A 23,142-nucleotide genomic window follows, 5' to 3' on the forward strand; every position below is an offset into this window, starting at 1 on the left:
ATTCCCCGCCTTTTAAGCGCAGCCTCGCACTCCCCCCACCCCACGCAGGGGCGGGCCTTGGGGAACCGCGGGCGCCCACTGGCCGCCGCGCGCCGCTCCCCTCCAGCTCGCCTGCGCCTCTCACTGACTCTCTCCTTCCCTAGCTGCAGCTAACTCGGGTCGGGAAAATGCGACAGCGACTGCCCACTCGAGGTCGTCATGGCGACAGCCAGTGAACGTGTTCCTCTCCTCGGGCAGGCCCCCGAGTGTAGAGGAGCTGCTTCGGGAGGCGCAGCTCAATCTCCAGAGCCTGTTGCAAGGTACCGAGAGGGAGGGGGGCTGCGGCCGGAGCCCAGAAGCGAGATGCGCAGCGGCAGGAGGGAGGCAAAGAAGAAAGAGGACAGGGACCAGCAAGATAAAGACAGAGAGTTTAAAAACAATCGACAAAGCAGTTTCCAGCTTTCACCTTTCAGCCTAATGATTCTGAAAGAGGCTATTTCCAGGGCTGTTTCCCCCCATCCCCAGCCCCTTTTTTCAGCTCAGTAGCCCATGGGGAAACAAGGACAGAGACTGAGGCAGGGCCATAAGTTATGCCATTCACCGAGAGCTGGGTGGGAGACTCCCACAATGTGGGCCTACATTCCCTCCAGCCCCCCTCTTGCCACATCGCCCATGCCTTTGGGATCCTGGCACCAGAAGACAAAGGGGGCATCTGCAGGATCTCCCACTCTGGGCTTCACTCACTCTGCTCTTGCAATAACCCCTGGATAGCTACTGCCTCACCAAAGTAAGCCCAATACACAGCACCCAGAGGTCACCTATTTTGTCCCCCCTAACCAAGCCTGAGCTTCTCGATGTAAAGAATCACATCTTGCTACCCTTAGGTTTCCAGAAGCACCTGGCACAAGGCTGGATTCCCTCCCCACCTGCCAAGAGGTGCTCAGTGGATGTTGAGCATGAAAAGAGGTCTTGTCAGCACTCCTTTATCTATACTAATAAAGGTTAACTCTAATGGCGAATAGAAAACTGCTGATGGGCCACCAACAGGATGACAGCCATAACCCCCACCCCCTACCAGGGCAGTGGTGACCTTGGAAAAGCAAGATGCCAAGGGACACCATGAGCCTTGTGTTCAGATAACAAAGGACTTGCCACACAGAAAAAGAGTCGATGTGCTCTGTGTTGCTACCATGGCAGAATTAGGACCAGTGGGTGGAAACCCAGAAGGAGGCACATTCCACCTCCAGATAAGGAAGAACTTTCTGACACACCTGACAGCCCCAACTGTCCGTGGAAGAAATGAGCTGCCTTGGGAGGGAGGGAGCTCCCCTTCCCTGCAGGTGTGTGCGCTGAGGCTGAAGAAACACCTAGAAGGGCTGCTGAGGAGGGAGTCTGGGCACAGAATGAGGCGTTGGACCAAAGAACCCCAAGAGCAACCCCAAATCTCTGTGATTCTGAGTCTTTGTTCAGTGTACATACAGCATGAATGTCCCTTCTCTACTCTCACTTTCTTCATGTATTCTCATCAAATTCATCACTTCAATCAACCCTATTCAAATCTTGTGCATCCTTACTCACTGATGATGCCGCTGAACTTCTGCCTCTTTTATGCTGTTACCTCCTCCTTCCCTCTCCTTCACCTTAGCCCTCCTAGACCTGACATCACTTACAGCGGGACTAAGGTGCAGGGAACACGGCCCACAAAGGCTCAAGTAAAAGTTCTTGACATCCAAGAAAGAACTCCAGATTGGACTTCCTGGTGTAAATCTCTTCTTGCTTCACACAGGTCATTTCCTTGGTAGGGTCGCAGAAAACCTTAAGAGCTGCAGGGCTTCAAAGAGAGGAACTTGCAGTCCAAAGTAGCAAAAGGTGTCTGCATTCTGAGCCTCTTTTCGTAACTGAGCACTCAAGGTGGGGATCATTGAGATAAGGGCTTGGTCCCCAAACCACCACAGCATGAATTTATTGACTTTCTCTTCTCCTCGATCCTCATGGTCCTGGGAAGCAAGCACTTTTCCATTTCCAAATCCAGTGGCTCAAACACCTGGAAATAGCCTAAAGAAAATGCAAGTCAGGCCTGGCAGCTAGAGCAGGAGTCCTGGCTCATGGCCCTTCCCCGGCCCAGCGCTCGGCCATGGCACCCTAGAGTGTGTGTCTCCACTGTGCTATTTTTCAGAAGAATATGAGGAACAGTACTCGGAGGCCAGACTTGTGGGGCAGACCTTCCGCTCTTCTGATGAGGCCACTAAGCCCACCCCCAACCCAAGGCCCCAGTCTGCCAGGCGTCTGGAGTTTATATTGATGGTGAGTTGCCTCATCCCCCACCTGGGAGAGCCAGCATGCACCCACTGACAAGAGACCTCCAGCTGCTTACTTTACCCACTGGAAGCTGCTCAGCCCTGCTCACCAGCAGAGCTACCCTGAGGCCCCACTGGGATAGGCCCTGCACAGCAGGTGCCTGGCCTGGTGGCCTGTCCACGCTTTCCTGCCTCCCAGACGAAGCCTCCAACTACCCAGCCTAAACAGCCACCCTATGGGCACTGGCTCATTGCCAGGCAGGAATACACCCTTTCCATCACCTTCTCTCCCAACAGCCTACAAAACGGCAGCTGAGCGAGGATGAGACTACCACCCAGGGTGTGAGGGCCCCCGAGGCCTCCCTGAGCCTGTCTACCACAGCCGACAAGCAAACTGCCTGGAATAGCCTTTTCCCTCTGCCCATCCTAGAGGAGAAGCGGTGGCCTCAGCTTTGCTCCACGCAGTCTGACATTGTGCCCATCAACATCTCTGGTAGAGTTGCTTAGCACCGCCTTTGTCTTCTTCCCTTCATGCCTCTACAGACCATCCTCTTTGATGCACTGGGTATTGGGGGAGGGAAGTGAGACTTTCTTTGCTACCGGCTCACCTTGCGCTGTCACGGTCATGGCTCTTGCCAGGGAACGGAGGCATGCAGAAGAGGGGGCGCTGGCTGCTCTTTCTTCACCCCCTCCTGGCACTGCCACCCTAACTGAGACCATTTGATAGCAAGCAAAATTTTCTTAACAGAAAGCTCCAAAGCCTTATGAACTTCTGTGCTCTTCAGAGCACTTATGGAAACTTAAAGTTTGTGAGTTCTGTTTGGGTCAGGGCAAGACAACTTCTTGTGCCCAGAGCTGGGTTTGGAGTACACTGATAAGAGTCGGAGCAGGAGAGTGGGGTTTGGAGTGCTGGTGGTAACAAGGGAGGAGTACACCTGGGCACAGACCAAAGGCCTGGTAGCACTTTCACTGGACACTAGTCTTCTAGCAAGGTGGGCTTCTTCAACTTGTTTGGCAAGTTTTCAAGAAAAGAAGTGGTAGAAAGGTCCTAAGGCCAAAAAGACCAAAAGGGGACCCAGTACAATTTTAAGAGTGGGGAACGTGCTGTATTATATGTAGCCCAGCTGGCTGTGGCTCTGGGGGCATGTGGCACACTATACCATGCTCACTATTAATCCATGATCTACACTCCATCAGCTGTAAGGGGAAGAGAAGGAGGGCCAGTCATTTGAGAAGGAGATAGGGCCAGCGACATGATGAAACCATGATCTCAGTAACCTAAAGGGATCAGAGGGGTCCTGTGAGCCAGCGCCAGCCTGTGCTCTGCTGGGAAATGTTGATGAAGATGATGAGGACAGCTCTGGCCACATGTGGCAATGCTCCCTGGATATGGGGTCCTCCACTGTCACTGGCATCATTTCAGAAAATCAGAGGCAGGAAATACAGCCCACAGCCTAGGGAAATATACCAAAAGGAGTGAGGGCTGATGAGGAAAGACTCCAGAAGTGATGTTGAACATTTTGTGTCTAAATGTCTATCTTGGCCAGGCACAGTGGCTCACGCCTGTAATTCCAGCACTTTGGGAGGCTGAGGTGGGTGGATCCTTTGAGCTCAGGAATTCAAGACCAGCTTGGGCAACATGGTGAAACCCCATCTCTACCAAAAATACAAAAAAATAGCCAGGCGTGGTGGCGCACACCTGTGGCCCTAGCTACTCGGGAGGCTGAGATGTGAGGATTGCTTGACCCCAGGAGTCAGAGATTGCAGTGAGCCGAGATCACACCACTGCACTCCAGCCTGGGTGACAGTGAGACTTTGTCTCTAAATAAATAAATAAATGTCTGTCTTCCTCTCAATGAGGCTGTCCCTGAGCATTGCCCACAGAGCCACTTGCTGAGGTGTCTGTGAACGTGTGCAGCTGTGTGGCTGGCTGAATGAGAGAAAGGGAGGGGGAATCACAGACCTCGCCCCACCACCCTGCCTTGCCTTGACTCTGACCCAGCCATTTCCCAGCACCCAAAGACTGACCTAGCACTTTAAGAGAAATACAGCTCTAAAAAATTTTTTTAATAATATTAAGTAAGGCATATTATTGAGGAAATATTCCATTTTAATTGTGTTGAATTTGAAAACATTATCAAGTCAGTAAACAAACTGAATTAACAGATATTTTGAAAGTACCATGTAACTCAGATGAAGTGATAACTATAATCTGTGTCAATAATTTTCCTAAATTGAAAAGCCAGTGCCAGGAAAAAAAGAGAGAGAGAGAAAGAGAAAGAAATAGAGCTCAATCACCATGCTGTGAGCCAGCTTTGGTAAAATGTGACCAGGTGACTGTAGGACAGACTATCAGGCATCTTCCTGGATGGTGGAGGGCAGTAGGGCAGCCTCTTGGAGACACTGGCCTCACCTGGCCCATATAAAGGCCTTCTCTGAGAAAAGATCACAGTCAAGCAGCATCTAGTCCCAGTCCGCTGCTCTACACCAGTGGTTCTCACCCCTGGCTGTACCTCTGAATAATCACTTGAAGACTTCTAGAAAATGCTTCTACCTGAGCCCTACTCCCAGAGATTTCAGTGTTCTGGGGTAAGGTCCAGGTGTTGCAGTTTCAAAAGCTGCCCAGTTGAGTTTAATATGTAGCCCAGGGTTGAAAACCACTGCCCCAGGCCACCTAAAACTTACAGGCAACCTGGGTGCAGCCTGGGAAACCCAGCATGCATTCCCAGGGCCAAGTTGGGAAGGATGAGGAAGAAGTGCCACCTGCCTTGGATGCTATTCATGCTTATCACGACTGCCATCATTCTCTTCTCTCAGGCCAATTTCCACCGTGCTTTAAACAGAAACCAGGATGCACCCAAGTGTCTTTATTTTGGCTACAGGGCAGCAGTTTGATAAACATGCAAGTTTGCGACACTCGTTGTTTAACACAGAGACAGCCGTGAACCCCAAGTCCACCCTGAGGCGGAGGCGGACCATTATTGGATTCTCTAACTTTTCCCAGCGAGACCAAGGTGACCCCACCACAGCTGATTCCCCAGTCCCTTCCCCTTACCCACTCCTGCCAATCCTGCCACCCAGGTGGTACTGTGGTGATGGGGAACAGGAATAATTGGGTGGAGGAGGGGGCCTCCGGATGTCCTGAAAAAGCCAATATGGTAATTAAGAATAGCTAAGGGCCTCTTGTCAAGGGTGGCAACTGAATATGGAGAGTAGGTCTTCCGGGCTAATGAATCCATTACATTATTGTTTCCCATTATAAATGTAATACAACCAGATATGCCAAATTTAGGCAAATAGATGAAGAGAGAGGGTTCCTCACCATCATCTTAACAGAACCATTACTACCATTAAGTGAATGCTGGCCAGGAGCACAGACCAGGGAGATAGCAGAGGGTAAGAGCCCTGGTCTTTCCGCTTACTAACCAGGAGACCTTGGCCAAGTGACATAACCTCTCTGAGCCTCAGCTTCTTCATCTATAAAGTGGGGATAATGATACTGACATGGTGGAATTAGCATGAAGATTAGCGTTATTGTATGTAACTTGCCTACCATGTGCCTGGTACATAGTCAGTGTCCAATAAATGGTGGCTATTGTTACAAATTCTCATAGCAGTAGTAGTTATAATAATAATAATAATGACATGACAGTATTAATTGTTTGTGTGTATGAGAAAACCTTTGGGGATTTGGAACATCCAAACGGTTTCCTCACATCCGTAGATTATCCTCAGCCTCTTATGTTGCAAAGCCTAAAAGTGATGGGTGCGAACAATGCAACCAGACTCTTAGCTTTGCATCTTGGGCATGCTCCAGAGTCATTGCTGGAGCCAAACGTCACACCATGCCGTCCTTAGTTCGGAAGCCTCTACTCTCATCTCTAGATGGATGAATGCTGAGGTCTGTGATGGTTTCATGAGCCTGGGGTGAAAGTATGGGGAAAATGCAAGGTAATCCCACGTGACACTTCAGCTCTAAGAGGAATAATCAAAGCTGGAAAGTATTTGGCAGCCATCTGGACCATTCAAGGGCACCGTATGTCTCACTGTGGGGTGATGGGCAAGGACCCAATTTCCCCAGCATCTTCATCCATGGAAGGGAAGAACCAAGGAATTCTGACCAAGCTGTTGGCAAATGCTTCTTGGCAAAAAGTTGGTGCTCCTGTCTCAAAACAGCTGGTGGGAGATCCCTTGCTGTAGCACTCATGTCCTGTGTTTATTTCCTCCAGGTCACAGCAACAGCCCAGCAGGCAGTGTGGCCCACTCTACCACCTCCGACATCAGGCCCAGTCACTCAGTTCCAGAAGGGGTTCATGGAAGAGTTGCAGTTGGTCAGGATGCTCGGTTCCCAAGTCTCACCTCGCCAGTACTGAGAACTCCTTCCAGTGAGCCGGACGAACCTCACCAGGCACGGAGTGGCCCAAACCCTCCTGGCATGGAGAGCATGGGAATGGTGTACAGTGTCCCCAGTTCTTGCAATGGACCTACAGAATCAACCTTCTCCACTTCCTGGAAGGGAGATGCTTTTACCTACATGACTCCAAGTGCCACCAGCCAGAGCAATCAAGTCAATGAAAATGGGAAAAATCCTTCCTGTGGGAATTCTTGGGTCTCTCTAAACAAAGTCCCACCTCTGGTTCCTAAGGAGGCTGCTACCCTCCTTGTCGCTCGTGATAACCCAGCAGGATGCAGTGGGTCAGCTGGCTACCCTGAGCGCCTTATTCAGCAAAGGCACATGCCCGAAAGACCCTCCAAGATTGGCCTTCTGACCAGTGGGACCTCGAGGCTGGAGACAGGCCCCGGTGGGGCCAGCAGATTCCGGGAGCGGTCACTGTCTGTGCCCACAGACTCAGGCACCACAGATGTGGACTATGATGAGGAGCAGAAGGCCAATGAGGCCTGTGCCCTGCCTTTTGCCAGTACGAGCTCTGAGGGCAGTAACAGTGCTGACAACATTGCCTCCCTTAGTGCCCAGCAAGAGGCCCAGCACAGAAGGCAGAGGTCCAAGAGTATCTCACTTAGGAAGGCCAAAAAGAAGCCTTCCCCACCCACACGCAGTGTCTCACTGGTCAAAGATGAGCCAGGCCTCTTGCCTGAAGGTGGGTCAGCACTACCCAAGGACCAGAGGCCCAAGAGCCTTTGCCTCTCCTTGGAACATCAAGGACATCACTCGTCCCACCCAGATGCTCAGGGTCACCCAGCTATTCCAAACCACAAAGATCCAGAAAGTACACAATTCTCCCACCACTGGTATCTTACTGACTGGAAGTCTGGTGACACCTACCAATCCCTGTCCAGCTCCAGCACTGCCACTGGCACCACAGTCATTGAGTGCACCCAAGTTCAGGGCAGCTCAGAGTCTCTTGCCTCACCTTCCACCTCCAGAGCCACTACACCTTCCCAACTCTCCATTGAAGTGGAGGCCAGGGAGATATCATCCCCGGGAAGGCCCCCTGGACTGATGTCACCCTCCAGTGGCTACTCCAGCCAGTCGGAAACACCAACACCCACTGTTTCCATGTCCCTGACCCTGGGCCACTTACCCCCTCCAAGCAGCAGTGTCCGGGTACGTCCAGTGGTACCTGAGAGGAAGTCATCACTACCCCCGACGTCACCAATGGAGAAATTTCCCAAGTCACGGCTATCATTTGACCTACCACTGACCTCTTCACCCAACCTGGATCTGTCTGGGATGAGTATCTCCATCCGAAGCAAAACTAAGGTGAGTCGGCACCACTCAGAGACAAATTTTGGCGTCAAGCTGGCCCAGAAAACTAATCCCAACCAGCCAATCATGCCTATGGTTACTCAGTCCGACCTACGTTCTGTTCGCCTGAGGTCGGTCAGCAAGTCTGAGCCGGAAGATGATATTGAGAGCCCTGAGTATGCCGAGGAACCCAGAGCAGAAGAAGTCTTCACCTTGCCAGAGAGAAAGACAAAACCTCCCGTAGCTGAGAAGCCTCCGGTGGCCCGGAGGCCTCCAAGCTTGGTCCACAAGCCACCATCTGTTCCTGAGGAGTATGCACTAACTTCACCAACCTTGGCTATGCCCCCCAGGAGCTCAATTCAACATGCGAGACCACTCCCTCAAGACAGCTACACGGTAGTGCGGAAACCAAAGCCCTCCAGCTTCCCAGATGGCAGAAGCCCAGGGGAGTCAACAGCACCCTCATCTCTTGTTTTCACGCCTTTTGCCAGTTCCTCTGATGCTTTCTTCTCAGGAACACAGCAGCCTCCCCAGGGAAGTGTAGAGGACGAGGGCCCCAAGGTGAGGGTTCTGCCTGAAAGAATTAGCCTCCAGAGCCAGGAAGAAGCTGAGAAAAAGAAAGGCAAGATTCCACCTCCCGTACCAAAAAAACCCAGCGTGCTGTACCTGCCTCTCACTTCTCCCACAGCTCAAATGGAGGCCTATGTGGCAGAACCAAGGCTGCCTCTCAGCCCCATCATCACCCTGGAGGAAGACACCAAGTGTCCCGCCACCGGCGATGACCTGCAATCACTTGGTCAAAGGGTGACTTCAACTCCTCAGGCTGACAGTGAAAGGGAGGCAAGCCCTCTGGGTTAGTAAACTGTCTGCTGGCTTTTTCCTTCAGTCACAGGAGAGATGAGGGTGAGAATGGAGTGCCAGAGATGGAAGCAGATGCCCCAGAATAATTATCCTGATCCCAAGTCAGTAGCGGGCACCCTTTGAGGGTTTGAGTTACTCTAAATAGGAACCACGGGCTGGCCTTACTGCCCTTGAGATCAAGACTAGCCCGAGGCAGATCTCCAAGGCCCAGTTTAGGCCACTCTCCCCTCTAAATCTCTAGTGCTGAGATAATGAAATCAAACTAGGTTCTAGCACCCTAGGACTTCAGCATCCCACATCCCTAGCCAAGCATGCATCCTGTCTTGGGAACTACTCCACCTCACTGTACAGTACTTTTCATTGGCTGCAGTGAATTTAGTTCCCTACATGGGACCCAGTACCCCACCAGACTGAGTTCAAGTGCCATGGCAGGCTCGGAGCCATCTGAAACAACGGAATATGTTGCCACCAGCAGCCTCTTTTTGTGCCTTCCGGAGGAAAGGGAGCTCACTTTCTTGGGTGGTTTGAGTTCTTTGGCTCTTCCTGGAACCATAAACATAATACATAATGCTTCTCATCCTTTCTTTTTCTGTCTCTTTTTGTTTTAATTGTGGTAAAGTACCCATAACATTTACCATCTTGACCATTTTTAAGTGTGCAGTTCATTCGTGTTAAGCACATTCACATTGTTAAGCAACCAATCTCCCGAACTCCTTTCATCTTGCAAAACTGAAACTCTGTACCCAGTAAACAACAACTCCTCCTTCTCCCTCCCCGCAGATTCCTCCCTCCAACCACCATTCTACTTTCTGTCTCTATGAATTTGACTCTAGACACCTCATATAAGTGGAATCATACAGTATTTGTCTTTTTGTGACTGGCTTATTCCACTAAGCTTAATGTTGTCAGGGTTCATCCATGTTTCTCATTCTTTTCTGAACCCTTAACACCAAAAATCAAAATCTCATGGCCTTCTATATGCAAATTTGGACTTTCAATATGAGTCAATTATGACTAAGTCAAGTAAATAAATCAAAGCCCCAGGTAGTTGTAGAAAACACTTCCTCAGACTCCACAGGCTCCCCTCTGAGATTCAAATAGGTTCCACTCTCACCCACTGGGTGGGAGTCACTAGTTTAGATCACTCCCAGCTCCTTCATTTGGAGAAATGATATACAGTGTTTAAAACAAGAGAATGCTCGGGCCACCTGTTATAATGACAAAGACATGACAGAATAGGGACCCACGCTGATCTTCACCACTCACTCCACCTTGGGCAAATCATTAAGCTTCTGAACTTCATATTCCTCCTCTGCAAAATGGAGGTATTAAAAATCTCCACCCTGCTGCCCTCACAGAGTTGCTTTCACCATCAAATGAAATAACATATGAGAATGTGCTTTGTCCTATCTACTGTGGTCAAAGTCATTCCTTTTGGTTTTTTATGTCTAGGGAGTTCTGTGGAACCAGGCACCGAAGAAAAAAGTTTAATCAGTGATAAAACAGCTGAATGGATTGCAGAGGATGATGATGACGTGTTTGTGGCTTCACGCACAACTGAAGATTTATTTACTGTGATACACAGGTCTGCACCAATTTCCTTAATTCTAATTGCAATTGCCTTCCCTTTTTGTACTTAAAGAAAACCTGCTATTCCACATTGAAATCCTAATTGTAAAAGAAAAAGAAAAAAATTAAAAATAAGAAAAACTGCTACCTTTAAGCAGCCATTAGAATTGCACCTGGAGGCTAAGTTCAGATACCCACATATGTGAGCGCAGTCCAGGGCCTCGCATCTCAAATTCACTGACATCGTTGGGTAAAGTGGAGGAAGGGAGGGGAGAGGAGGACCAGGTGCCGAGTGAGAGGCCCCTCGTCTCCTAGCAACCACTTGGCCTATTGTGGCTCCATCTGCTCTCTCTTAGCTCTGTCTATAGTCAGAGACATTTAACCCTTCACAGAATTCCTTGTATCAAAAAAATCCCATCAAGAGTTGAAGTGGGGCACCAGGCAGCATATCAAAACAGGAACTTAGGAAAAGAGGAACCAGATGGGGACCAGTTATTGGACAGGGTTACAAGGCAGGGGTTCAGTGACAAGAAAACTGGGAAGAGTTTATTATTGGAGCTAGACCACCAGTCCAGAACAGGATCAGTCCCCAGGCTGTCCTGATTCAGAGTCACTGAGCTACTAGCCTTGACTCCTGAAATTCGTCCTTGGTCCCAGAACCTGGGCAGGACTGAGGCTACAGGCACAGGACAAGTGACTCCAGCTGGGGGCATTGAAAGGAATATGGGGACGGGAGGGCCCAACAAGGGACTCTGAGGATTTAGAGGTGAGAGAGAGAGAAAGCAGGTCAATACGGCTGCTTGCAGGGCTGCCGCCTGGATTGTGTCACAGGCATGGGGGTCTGTGAAGCACTGGTAAATGTCTGCTGCATTAACTCACTCAGACCAAACTTTCTCTTATCTAGGTCCAAAAGGAAGCTGCTCGGCTGGAAGGAACCTGGTGAGGCCTTTGTGGGTGGCAGAACGAGTTCCCACTCACCAATAAAGAACACAGCTGAGTCTCCAATCAGTGAGTCTACCGCCACTGCAGGGTCAGGCAGCAGTGCCAACCTAGATGCTGGCAGAAATGACGATTTCAAGGCCTTGCTACAGAAGAAGGGAAGTAAGGCAACTCCAAGGTCTCGTCCCTCAGCAGCTGAACTTCTGAAGACCACTAACCCACTGGCTCGGAGAATTATTGCACAATTTTCAAAAGACTATGAAACCACCGATAACCCCAGTACCTAAGCCCTGGGCTCAACAAGCAGGGTTTACTTACTAAACTTGAGTAGAGAAGGGGGAAGAGAAAGGGTCTTTAAACAGAACCATGGGAACAACAGAGCCTACATTTCTTTTATATTAACTCACACTCTGGACAGCAGGAGAGAGGCTACTTCATCTAGAGCTAAAATCATCTGGCACTTAATCATCTTCAGACATTTTTATGTTTTCATACTTATAAGCTTGTCATGACTGACTACCGAGTTTCTTCTTATTTTCCCCCAGTGGTGTGCACTAACTAAGAAGAAATTTTCAGATGTCAGGGCACATGTGCCACTTTTTCAATTCAGTGACCCGGCTGCTCCATCCCTGGCTCCTGTCACTGAGGAGTGCAGTGTGAGAGCAGATTGGAGGCTGCCAAACTTGGGGGGCATAGGGTGCCATTGCTTATTATTCACTTTCCTAGGGAGGCTCTGATGGCCCTGTGTGCAAACACAGAAAGACTCTGATGCCTCCTCAACCACAGTTTAGCTTTCCCCTGCGCTCACAAGAGGTTTGCAGGGTGCACTTATTTCGGCATGAGGTTGATTGGATGGCTTTTGTGGTGCAAAATATGACTGTGACTCTGTCCTGAAACTTAATGCCTTTTTCAGTTTGATTGTCTACATGGAGATCAGGGTGATAAGTTTCAATAAACATATAGACGCCCCCCCACCCACCCCCATTAGCTAGAAAAGACCAGGACTGGGTTGCTTTAAATGAACCAAGCTTGACCAACAAACAAGACAGCCATTTGTTCACTCAGATCTAGCCGAGGTAACTCACAAGTGCACCTTGAGATCCTCCATGTGTCTGTCAACAGCGATAGGCAGGATCTGCGCCCAGCTCATGCTGCATTCTAAGAACTCTCATTTCATTTGCATATAAAATTCATTACAGGAAGTAATTAACTGAAGGAACAGCATCATCAAAGGCTCAAGGATAATGGAAAGTAAGTGCATCTTGCCCCCCACCAGTCAATTCAGATCGTGGTTTGTGGTTGGTTTGGTTTTGTTTAAAGGAAGTCCGACTCTGTTCCAAAAACCAAGAACATATAAACTAAAAGGATCTATCCAAAATCTAAAAGGCAGTCTTGCCAGTTGCTATGGCCCATAATGCACACACACACACACACACACACACACACACACACACACACAAAAGGGCTACTTTTTGCCATTTAGGTTCTGTGTTTGACCAGCTTTCAATTAACCTTGCTGGGGGAGAGCATAAGAACCTGGGTAAATGGCATACTGAAAGAGCTTCAGAATAATCATTGCGACCCCTCCCTGCCCCCACCCCCCACGAAGCTTATAGGCACTAACTATTCTTGTCAGCTCAATTTTCTAAGCAGAGCAAGAGCAGTGATTCATTTGATTTTTGTATGCCTGATTTCTGGGAGGTTGGGGAGGAAGACAAAGCACTGAGCAAAGAAAACCTGCTGACCAATGATGGAAAGTTAATTGTCTACTGTCTTCAAGAGGCAAAAAGAACAGTTGAATGAAATTGTAGCCTGCTTCACAAAGAGAGTTCCCCAGCCCCTTCCTACTTCACCCCTCACCCAATAGATTCAATGGTCAACCTCCTGGAGGATGCAGTAAGGTTCCAGAGACAAGCAGATCTCAACTTTGATAGGTCGTATTGCCCAATGAGAAGCCACCTTTTAGCTCAACTGCCCACACTCCAGCTGGACAGAGCAGCTGAAAAACCACACTAAGTACTGAGAAAACTTGGGCCTCTCACAAGAGAAGCCCTAGGCCTAGGCCCTTTGTTGTTATAGTTCTGAATCTGAGACTTCTGGAAACAGGCCAGGCCCACCAACTCCCTTGCAACCAGCACTTCGACACTTAAAATAATAAAACAGCTAGGCTCAGTTGCTTTTGAAAGTACTAGAACTACTTGGTGTGAAGTTCTTAACCAAATTCCAAATTCCAGGGATTTTGCCCAAAATAAAATCAATTCATCCCTGGCCTCAGTTTATATATGAATGCCACATTTGTCTGCTCCAGACTTAGAATTCCAAAAAACAGACATTTTCCTCTGTAGTAAATGAAGGAGCGTTTGTGCTTTTGCTTAGCAAAAATGAAAGGACACCAGGGTCTCCTTGGGAACCATTATGACTGGTTGAACGTTAAAGCTGAGTATGGGACTCACATAGTATAGGCCTTGTTACTTCTGTGGACTTTTCTGGAAGTTTCTTGTTTACTACTTCTAATGGGTTTTGCCTCTCCCCTCACCTTGCTACCTCTGGAGGTTTTCCCAAAAGATTCTGAACCTGAATTCTCAGACACCTTGATGTTTGTCAGTTACCTTTAGTCTTGTTTTCCTCTACAATACTCTATATGCCTGGAATTTTTAGAATATCTTCTACATCATCACTGTGGCCCACGCAGTGGTGTTCCCATTAGCACAAGAGGATTTGGGGCAGAAATCATATGGTCAGAGAGAACATTTAAGACCGGAAGTATTCATTTAATTTTTTAAATTAATTTTTTGTAAAGATGGGGGTTTTGCTATGTTGCCCACGCTGGTCTTGAACTCCTGAGCTCAAGCGATCCTCTCGCCTTGGCCTCCCAAAGTGCTGGGATTAAAGGAGTAAGCCACTGCACCTGGCCTCATTTAATATTTTGCAACAGGTAGACGTCCCAAATAAACAACCAAACTGTAAAATTTCTACTAATCACTAATTAACAGAACACAAAGCATCTTCCCCACTCCTAACACTCAACCTCTCTCCTACCTTTGATTATCATAACTCCACTCTCTCTCCCACCCAGGCACTTACCACAATGTTTGCTGCCTTCTGCACCTACGCTGCTGAGACTGGAGAAGAGAGGCTGAAAGCCCCTCTCAGAAAGGCTTGCAGAGAACCCACCACTACTACAATTACTAGTATAAATAATAATGATAATAATTTTTGAAGGTGGAATAGAGAAGAGATTTGAGTGAAATGAAGTTGGCCCTAGGAGCTCAGCTTCCATTTCAAGTCGTCCCTATCCTCTTTTTTCCTCCCCATTCCAGTTAGTAGCAACAGATGGCTCTGCTAGCCTGACTTTGATCTAGTCACCATCCCCAGGAGCGGAGGTTAATTGTTAACCAAGGATGCTTTGCATTTGGTGGGTAGTCAGTACATGTTTTTGAGGGTAGTTATTCTTGGTACAATAGCAAGCTTTGCTGGTGTCTCCTCTCCTTATCCTGTACTACTTGGCCTGCCTCAGCTCCTGACTGGGCCTCCCCCACCAGCCCCAACTTATTCCTCAGCCCCAACTTATCCCTCAGCCCCAAATCCCATGAACTGCATCCCTAGCACAACAACTCACCCATAAAGGAAGTGAGACAACAGGAAGCAAAATAATTAATGTTAGCTTAATGACCACAAACTGACCAGTTGATCTGGATAAATTACCTTGAACGTGCAAAGACAGAGGAGATCCTACCAGGCTCTCCTAACAAGCACTGCACCTGACATCCAGTGTAACTATCTGGACAACACAGACCCGATTGCAGTCTCTCTGTACCTGTCAGTCTGAGCAGATCTGTCCACGCACCTGCCCTCTTCCTCATCAATGAACAAGTTGGGAAAAAGATGAGTTCATGCTCAGTGCTCTGTTCCTCACTCGTTCCACCTTCCATTATCAAGTCTGTGACACAATGGTGAGCTTTCGCTTTAATATGATTTGCTAGGGCCAGGACTAGGGTGAGGTGAGCGAGGCACCTAGGGCGTAAAATTCAAAGAGGTGCCCGCTCTCAGGGCCATGCAAGTGCCTTACCCTCGTCCCAGCCCTGTGATTTGCACTCTTTAAAGTAATATCAGTTTATCTTCTTCCTATGAACAAGTATAGTCCTTCTGATTTGGGGTCGGGGGTTAACTCCCTATCTCTTGTTGCACCAAATATTTTATTGCTACCTATTTTTCCATTGCTATAAGTCTTTGTGTGCCTATACATTAAAGAATCTTTAATAGTGTTAATATCGGAAAACATAGTTGATTTCTAAGTAATATGCTCCAGGTGGCAAGTTAACACCCATTTCAGCAGGGATGCTCCCAAGGCCAGCCCTTCAACAAAAGAGTGACTGAGTTGACGGTCTGTCACCAGGATCCTCCCTCTCCTCTTTCTGCTCCATTCTCCTAAACCTTGCTTCCCAGCACCAACTCTCTTCAGTGCCTCCTACTTCCTTCTCCTCCTAAGAAAAACCTGCTCTCAGGAAAGGGATAAATTCATTTACTTTGAGATTATAAGGCTTAATGCTACCTCTTTTGAGGGTCAGTTGCATTTTAACAAGGGAAAAGCCTTAAGCCAATGGAATGAAGTTCTACTTGCAGAATGTTAGGCATCAACTAGTTGTAGAAGTGTATTTTTCACCATGGAAAGGCCAAATTCCCTGACGCCTAACTCCAGAATATAGAAAATATCTTAATCGCCTGGAATCATTTGAGTTACTAGCTGATGGTCAATTAAATTGTCCTGATATCCAATGCTATTCAATATGGTTACTACCAAGGGACTCTCAGAAATGGCTACTAAAAGCCACTGAGAAGGCCTAGATCATTCATATTGTACATTGACATTTTTACATAAATGGAATTAATACTACTTACCATTTGAGTAAAGAACACAAGGAATTGAAGAGTCTGTGAAAATATGTCCTGTTTGTGAAAGGTGAAACTGTCCAATCCATGTCCAATCAATGTCAGTCGTCCAGTATTGGTGGTGATTATTAAACTTATTGGAGGTACAACTTTACCTCCAATAAGCTTACCTTTACAAGCTTCTGCTTTCCCTGCTTCATCTCTGTTATGGGCTATCAGTCCAGCTTGGTGTGAAAATGAGACTATATCTATACCACAGCCCCCAATCCTTTCAAAGGCTTTGCATGTATTTCAGCTACAAGTGACAAGGATATTAGGGATTTAAAAGGATAAGAGAGTGGGAAAGATGTATAAGGAAGTGCCTTTGTCAAAAGGCAGCAAAAAGTATAATGATATAAACATAATATGAAATAAGCAAATTTTAGAATACTTTGAAACAGATTTATAGAGGAATACATAGTAAATAGTTATAGACACACATTTGGGGCATTTTTAATAAGGTTAGCAAGAAGAAATTTGCATGAGTAATGAGCAATGTGAAATGGGCATTATACTTTTGTTCAGTAAAGCCCAAAATCTAGGCCAATGGTTCTCAAAGTGCAGTTCCAGGAGCAGCAACAGCAGCATCCCTGGAGAGGGAGAAAGAGAGAGAGAGAGAGTGTATGTGTGTGTGTGTGTGTGTGTGTGTGTGTGTGTGTGTGTATGTGCATTCCAGTGATGTTACTCCTTCAAGCCCCTGAATCACTATAGCCACGACTCTCCAACTGATTCCAACCTTTACCATTATTCTGGCTCTCATCATAAGGACCAGTCTCTGGCCAAGAGGTGTATATTGTTATCTTGGTCAGGCATATGTTTGCTTGGTTTTAAGAAATTATCAGATTGAGGAGTCTCATGTTTTATGGGACTCCGGTGCATATGCTCGAAAAAAATTAAAAAGAACTTATCATATTGGATCAACAAATTGCTCAACCTGCAAAATCTTTGATTAGACTTAGCCAGCCCATCTGGCCTGCTTTGGGTTTAAAAAAAAAAAAAAGATTTTTTTTAACTCACAAATGGAAAAAAGGGAAAGGTGTTAAGTTTGTTTGGTATTGCCAGCTCTTAAATACCTGTCTTTACCGTGGTGGCTGTTCTCCAGTAAGGCTCTGGCAGAAGTATATTTGATTTTAAGATTTTTGCCTAAATAGTAGAATTTGATAGCAACGAACTCCAAAACAAAATCTGAACTGGAACAACTAGTTAACCCCTCTCAGCCTCTTTGTAATGCCAAGCTTTATAGACATTTATTCCTTAGGTGGTCTTGAGCTTTTTCTAACATCCAATTTTATAAAATGTTGTGCATGCAAACGCAGCATTGTGCTCATTGTACAAGTCACCTCAAACTCATTCCTTCCCCCATGTGTATCATGGCGAAGAAATATCAATATATGTATGTGCTGAGGTCTTCTGATGAATTGTAAATTACAAACCTTTTCATTCATTTTTAAATGAGATATATTTACCCTGGCTAGTGGTTAAAGTTTTATTCTTTTTATTATATTTCACTGCTACTTTTTTCTACTGACTCCAAAGCTTACTTTGGGCTATATTTCTTATTTCTAGATTGTTGTATTTATCTTATTTCTATATTTATCTGCAGTCTTGGAATGTTAGAGCTGAAAGGGACCAACCTCTCTCATTTCACACATGAGGAAGCTGAGGCCCAGAAAGGTCAAATAACTTATATACAAGGTCACACAGTGAGTCAGTGGTGGGGCCCAGCCTCAATTCCAGGTCTCCTGCCCTTGGGCCCAATCTGGTTTCATTTAAAGCACTACAATTTATAGAAGACCCACAGCTGGCTTCTACTTTTATGACACATGAATTTCCCAGGTATTTCAATGAACTAATATATATGCTTTAAGGGAAAATGTTCAAGAGTTCTTTAATTCATTAATCCAAAGACAAATTGGATTTTCAGTTTATAAACATTAGTTTCCCTCCAAATTCAATATGTGCACCCTACTTAGTACAATGGATGTTTTCCCTAAAAGTTGTGTGAAAAATGAGTTTTTTAGATATCAAGTATCATTTTTTAGAGGTAAACTTCCTATGTAAGGGAACCTTCTGGTGACTTCTTTTTGAAAAACCGAGATTCCTCTTGTCATTGTCCCATAATGTCTCTACTTTTTTTAGTGCAAACTTTTGTATTTGGTGTTTATTTAAAAGTAGGGTACAACCCAACCAATATTAGCTTTCCCAGAGTCTACTTTAGCCTTCCCTTCTTAATCTTTATGAGAAATTTTCAGACTGTTAAATGCTCATGAGATATTTAGTTGTGTTCTAGAAATTTCACCTGGCTTGATATTCTGTCAATCCCTGGGCTCAAATTCCAGCTCCATCTTATCAAACAATAACAGAATTCCCTAATCAGTACTAAGCTCCGCATGCAGTCTCTTTTCCAGAACATTCTTTGCCTAATGTTCCTTAGTGTGGCTCTCTCTTTAGTTGGGGCCTCCTTCCTTAGTACATGCATACCTTACTATTCTGTGGAATTGCAAGCCATGCATCTTTTAGAGCCACACTAGTCAAATTGATTGGCATTTCCATTTATTTTCCATTGTTCCCTTGTTTCTCCTGGACTTCCTCTCGTTTCTCTTTTCGAGGATGCTTAGAGGCTTCTCACCAGAGATTGGTGAGGTTTCCCCCATCATCTAGATGGGAGATTGACAAATTCTGTAAAGGTTAAGACAGTAACTATTTTAGGCTTTGTGGGCTACATGTGGTCTCTGTAGCACATTCTTCTTTGTTGTTGCTGTTTGTTCATTCGTTTGTTTTGCAACCTTTGGATAATGTAAACCACTCTCTTTTTTTTTGACAGAGTCTCTCTCTGTAGCCAGGCTGGAGGGCAATTGTACAATCTCGGCTCATTACAACCTCCACCTCCCGGGTTCAGGCAATTCTCCTGCCTCAGCTTCCCGAGTAGCTGGGACTATAGGTGCGTGCCACCATGCCCAGCTAATATTTTTTTTTTTTTTGTATTTTTAGTAGAGGCAGAGTTTCACCATGTTGGCCAGGATGTTCTCGATCTCCTGACCTTGTGATCCGCCCACCTCGGCCTCCCAAAGTGCTGGGATTACAGGTGTGAGCTACCGCACCCTGCCAATATAAACTATTCTTAGCTCATGGGCTATGCAAAGCCTTAGGCTGACCCCTGATCCAGACTGTCTTCTGAGACAAGCATTTCTGTGAGCTGCCCCATGTGATAACTGAGTTGTGCAGTAGCTGATGTGGTTTATTGCCTTCCCATCTACTGCATTGTCAGACCAGACTGACTGCACAGGAGCAGGTGGAGGGGGGCTGCATATGCCAACCATTACTCTTCAATAGAGTGTCCTTCATGAGCTCTCTCTCTCTCTCATTACTGACTACCTCAGTGTAGAAACCCTCATTTTTTTCCCCAGACCTATCCTTGTTACCCAATGTGCCTCTGCTTCCCTGGGTTTGGGATAAACTGGAAGGAGAGAATTTCTGAGTTCTCTTACTTATTTTGTTCCATAACTTCTCCCTCATATCTGTGGTTGGAGACTCCCACCCTTGTCCACCCTTTCCTGCCTCATACTAGTATCATGAGTTTAGGGCTGTCGTTGGAAAGTCTGGCAGCCCAGGCCATAGGATTCCAGTTCAGCCTACGATTTCCTAGGGAAATCACCAGGTTCCAAAGGCTGGTTTTTAAACCTAGAATATCCATGTATCCATTTCCTAATGCAGTTTGGACCTGTTCTAGACAGAGCACTCAGCCTTAGCAAGAAAACCAATGAGGTGCAGAAGATATTCTGTGCCCACAGTTTTTCCCTGCCTTCTGGACCCTCAGCCCCTGGGATGGGCTCCTTGGGATTGCCCATGCAACAACACAGCCACAAGACATTCAGCACACCACCTCCTCCTGTGTTTTGAATCTCTAAATGAATTCTGTTCTAAAGCTTCTTCACGTCTCTCTCCATCCTGCTCCCATCTCCACCTCTAATGCTTCTTGGGAGTCTGAAGCTCAGATTCACATTTTCACATTTTCTCGTATAAACGTTGTGGGATAAGAATGGATGATATGTATGTGTCTGTGTGAGTTTGGTTTCTCAACCTGGACTGTGAGGGCTAATTCACAAATCACACCATACATGCGTGTGTGCATGCGCGCGCGCACACACACACACACACACACACACACACACACAGTCCAGCACCCTCATCAGTTCTCTGGTTTAGGTCCAGATCTGATGGGACTGGTCAAGAAGGGGATGGTGGGGGCTCCTGAAGCATTTGCCCTTTCTTGCCTCTTGAGACCTTCTTTCCATTGGCAATTCAAAACAGGCTGACATACAGAGGGCTAGCACTCTAATTTGATGTGGACTCAGCCACTCAGACCTAGGTCTCAGGCTGCAGCTTATCCTAGCTCAGCAAATTGCTTCTTAGAATCTTTAGCTTGATTTCTGTCATTTGAGCCCAGGGATCTACCCACTTACTGAAATCTAAATTTTAAAAAATCAGTGATGAAAGTAATTTTCAGGATTTCCCTATTTAAAAGCATCCATGAAACAGTTCCTTTATGCCTTCTGTTTAGGATTTCCAGAATTAGGAAGGGAAACCAGGCTTGTGCCTTGGATCCAAAAGCAGCAAAAATACTACACTTGCCAAAAGCAAACTGAGGAATGAGCATTGGCCAGTCCTAGTATGCAGTCAAGAGGTGGACTTTTGTTAAGTTAGCCCTTACCATTTAGTGCTTACTGAATGCCAACAATGCACTTAGAAAAATAAGGGAGACAAGAATTTACAGACCATACCCTAAACTGGAAGGTACAGGAAAGACACATCTCCTAGAGCTGGGAATGTGTCCCTAACATTTCAAGAAGAAGCAGAAAGTAGGAGAGATCACGATCTCAGTCTTTTTAGGATTCCAACACAAAATGGAAGGGAGCCCTCTGTGGGGTGATATTACAAAGGGTTTTTCTTGTCTTTCTTTAAAAAAAAAAAGGCATTCCTTACTGGCTTGCTACCAGCAATTGAACTGTATTCTTTATATAGCTAGAGCTGTTTGTGTCTTCTTAAAATAAACTTTTTCTGTTAAAATCATTTTCTGTTTCACCCTCTGGTTTTCATTGTAGCAATGATACTTTTATTCAGACACTCAGCCCAGTTTTGAGCATGTTTAACCATCCACACGAGTATGGGGCCCACACACATTGGCTTTGATGCTCACGAACCTGAGAGCTCAAAACAGCTATGTGGCACAGAATGTCCTGCAGAAACCTGGCCCACTGAGCCATGGGCCTAAAGGCAGGTAACCCATGTTCTGGGACTTCATTTCAGGGATTTGAGTCCAGCTGTTCATGGAGTCAACAAGGGGGAGTGAGCAGCCATCACCAGGCCTGAGGGGAGGAGGCAGCCTTAGCAACTATCCCCAGGGCAAAAACTCCCTCTGTGTTCTCTAGCTCAATAAAGTCACCCAGCAAGGCAGACCAGAGTGAGTCTGGGCTGGGAGGGAAAAATCCCAAACCAAATGTGGTCCAGATCATTTCCATCCCTCAAGAAGGGTATGGTCCCACCATGCAGATGGTGACAGCCATATTTGAGAGTCAAATCTCATCAAAAGAAGAAAGGAACTTTGTTCTCTATTCCCAACTGTCCCAGGCCTCTAAGGCTGAGGTTCTTGTAGCCAGCATCCCTGTCTCCCCAGGCCCCTGACACCACCCGGCTGCTCTTCCAAAAGATACACCAGAACTGGAAATAGCTAGAAAACCTACAAGGGAAGGGAGAGGGGCCAGGGCCACCCTCAGACAATAGCATGTGTTTAAGTTGGAGATGAAGGTCAGAAAAGGAAGCTAGCTTGAGGTGGGCCTCATGGCAAGCAGTCCCTTGGTAGAACCCTGCAGTTCAGGGTCTGGTGTTCACTCCAGCAGGTTCAGAACTCCTTTGTACCTGTCTTAGTTCATTTTCTGTTGCTATAACAGAATACCATAGACCGAGTAATTAATAAAGAAAAGAAATCCACTTGTTTCTTACAGTTCTGGAGGCTGAAAAGTCCAAGGACACGTTGCTGCATCTGGAGAGGGCCTTCTTACTGAGTCATAACAGGGTGGGGGACATCACATGGCAAGAGAGCAAGAGCATGCCATCCTAGGTCTCTCTTCTTCTTATAAAGCCACCAGTCCATCATGCCCGCACCACCCCCCCGCACTGCCACCGAAGACCAACACACAAATTTTGAAGGACACATTCAAACCACAGCAGTGCCACACCACCATAAGCTGATGAAGCTTTTAAGGATTTACTCACACTGACCAAACTCACAAAAGACAGGTCCTGGTATGTTAATTAACAGAAGAGAGAATATACCTCTCAAACAAAGGTCATAAACAGGAGGGCTGCAGGCTGAATTGAATTCACATACATTATCTAGAGTACACAGTGCTGTTTGTCAATTTTTAAAAATTTAGGGGACTGGGCATGGTGGCTCACACCTGTAATCCTAGTACTTTGGAAGGCCGAGGCAGTTGGATCACCTGAGATCAGGAGTTCGAGACCAGCCTGACCAATAAGGTGAAACCCCATCTCTACTAAAAATACAAAAATTAGCCGGGTGTGGTGGCAGGTGCTTGTAGTCCCAGCTACTCGGGAGGCTGAGAGAGGAGAATTGCTTGAACCTGGCAGGTGGAGGTTGCAGTGAGCTGAGATCACGCTGCAGCATTCCAGCCTGGGTGACAGAGCAAGACTCCGTCTCAAAAAAAAAAAAAATTTAGATGGAGCACAGTCTCTCCAATTTACCTCCCACCACTCTCTGTTGCATCAAACCCAACCAGCTTCATTCCCTTATATTATCTGTCAGGTCCCTGAAGGCATATGAGTTTTTGACCCTTACATTAA

General features: G+C 46.7%; 1 protein-coding gene across 12 annotated transcripts in view, besides 2 other annotated features; it reads left to right on the top strand.

Annotated features, from left to right (window-relative positions):
- Positions 1-60: a silencer, noted in NCBI's record as "silent region_20903". NCBI's record gives its function as "represses an Ori minimal core promoter by ATAC-STARR-seq in GM12878 lymphoblastoid cells {active_cell/tissue: GM12878}" and the evidence as "EXISTENCE:reporter gene assay evidence [ECO:0000049][PMID:35858748]".
- The window catches only part of NHSL2 (NHS like 2), a 242,442-nt gene extending 221,091 nt beyond the window's left edge, over positions 1-21,351 (top strand). For 4 of the 12 annotated variants that reach the window (NM_001438805.1, NM_001013627.3, NM_001438808.1 and 1 more), the window contains 7 exons: positions 144-299; positions 2,156-2,283; positions 2,574-2,769; positions 5,159-5,290; positions 6,506-8,836; positions 10,297-10,429; positions 11,318-21,351. In NM_001438805.1, the coding sequence (NP_001425734.1) occupies positions 144-299; positions 2,156-2,283; positions 2,574-2,769; positions 5,159-5,290; positions 6,506-8,836; positions 10,297-10,429; positions 11,318-11,639 (3,398 nt within the window). In that variant the 3' untranslated portion in view covers positions 11,640-21,351. Of the gene's footprint in view, positions 1-143; positions 300-2,155; positions 2,284-2,573; positions 2,770-5,158; positions 5,291-6,505; positions 9,428-10,296; positions 10,430-11,317 lie in introns of those variants that run through there. The other 8 variants (NM_001438806.1, XM_047442069.1, NM_001438807.1 and 5 more) reach the window with 6 other exon arrangements.
- Positions 9,975-10,024: an enhancer, noted in NCBI's record as "active region_29754". NCBI's record gives its function as "activates an Ori minimal core promoter by ATAC-STARR-seq in GM12878 lymphoblastoid cells {active_cell/tissue: GM12878}" and the evidence as "EXISTENCE:reporter gene assay evidence [ECO:0000049][PMID:35858748]".

This window comes from Homo sapiens, chromosome X, assembly GCF_000001405.40.
Source record: "Homo sapiens chromosome X, GRCh38.p14 Primary Assembly".
NCBI classification, from domain to species: Eukaryota; Metazoa; Chordata; class Mammalia; order Primates; family Hominidae; genus Homo; species Homo sapiens.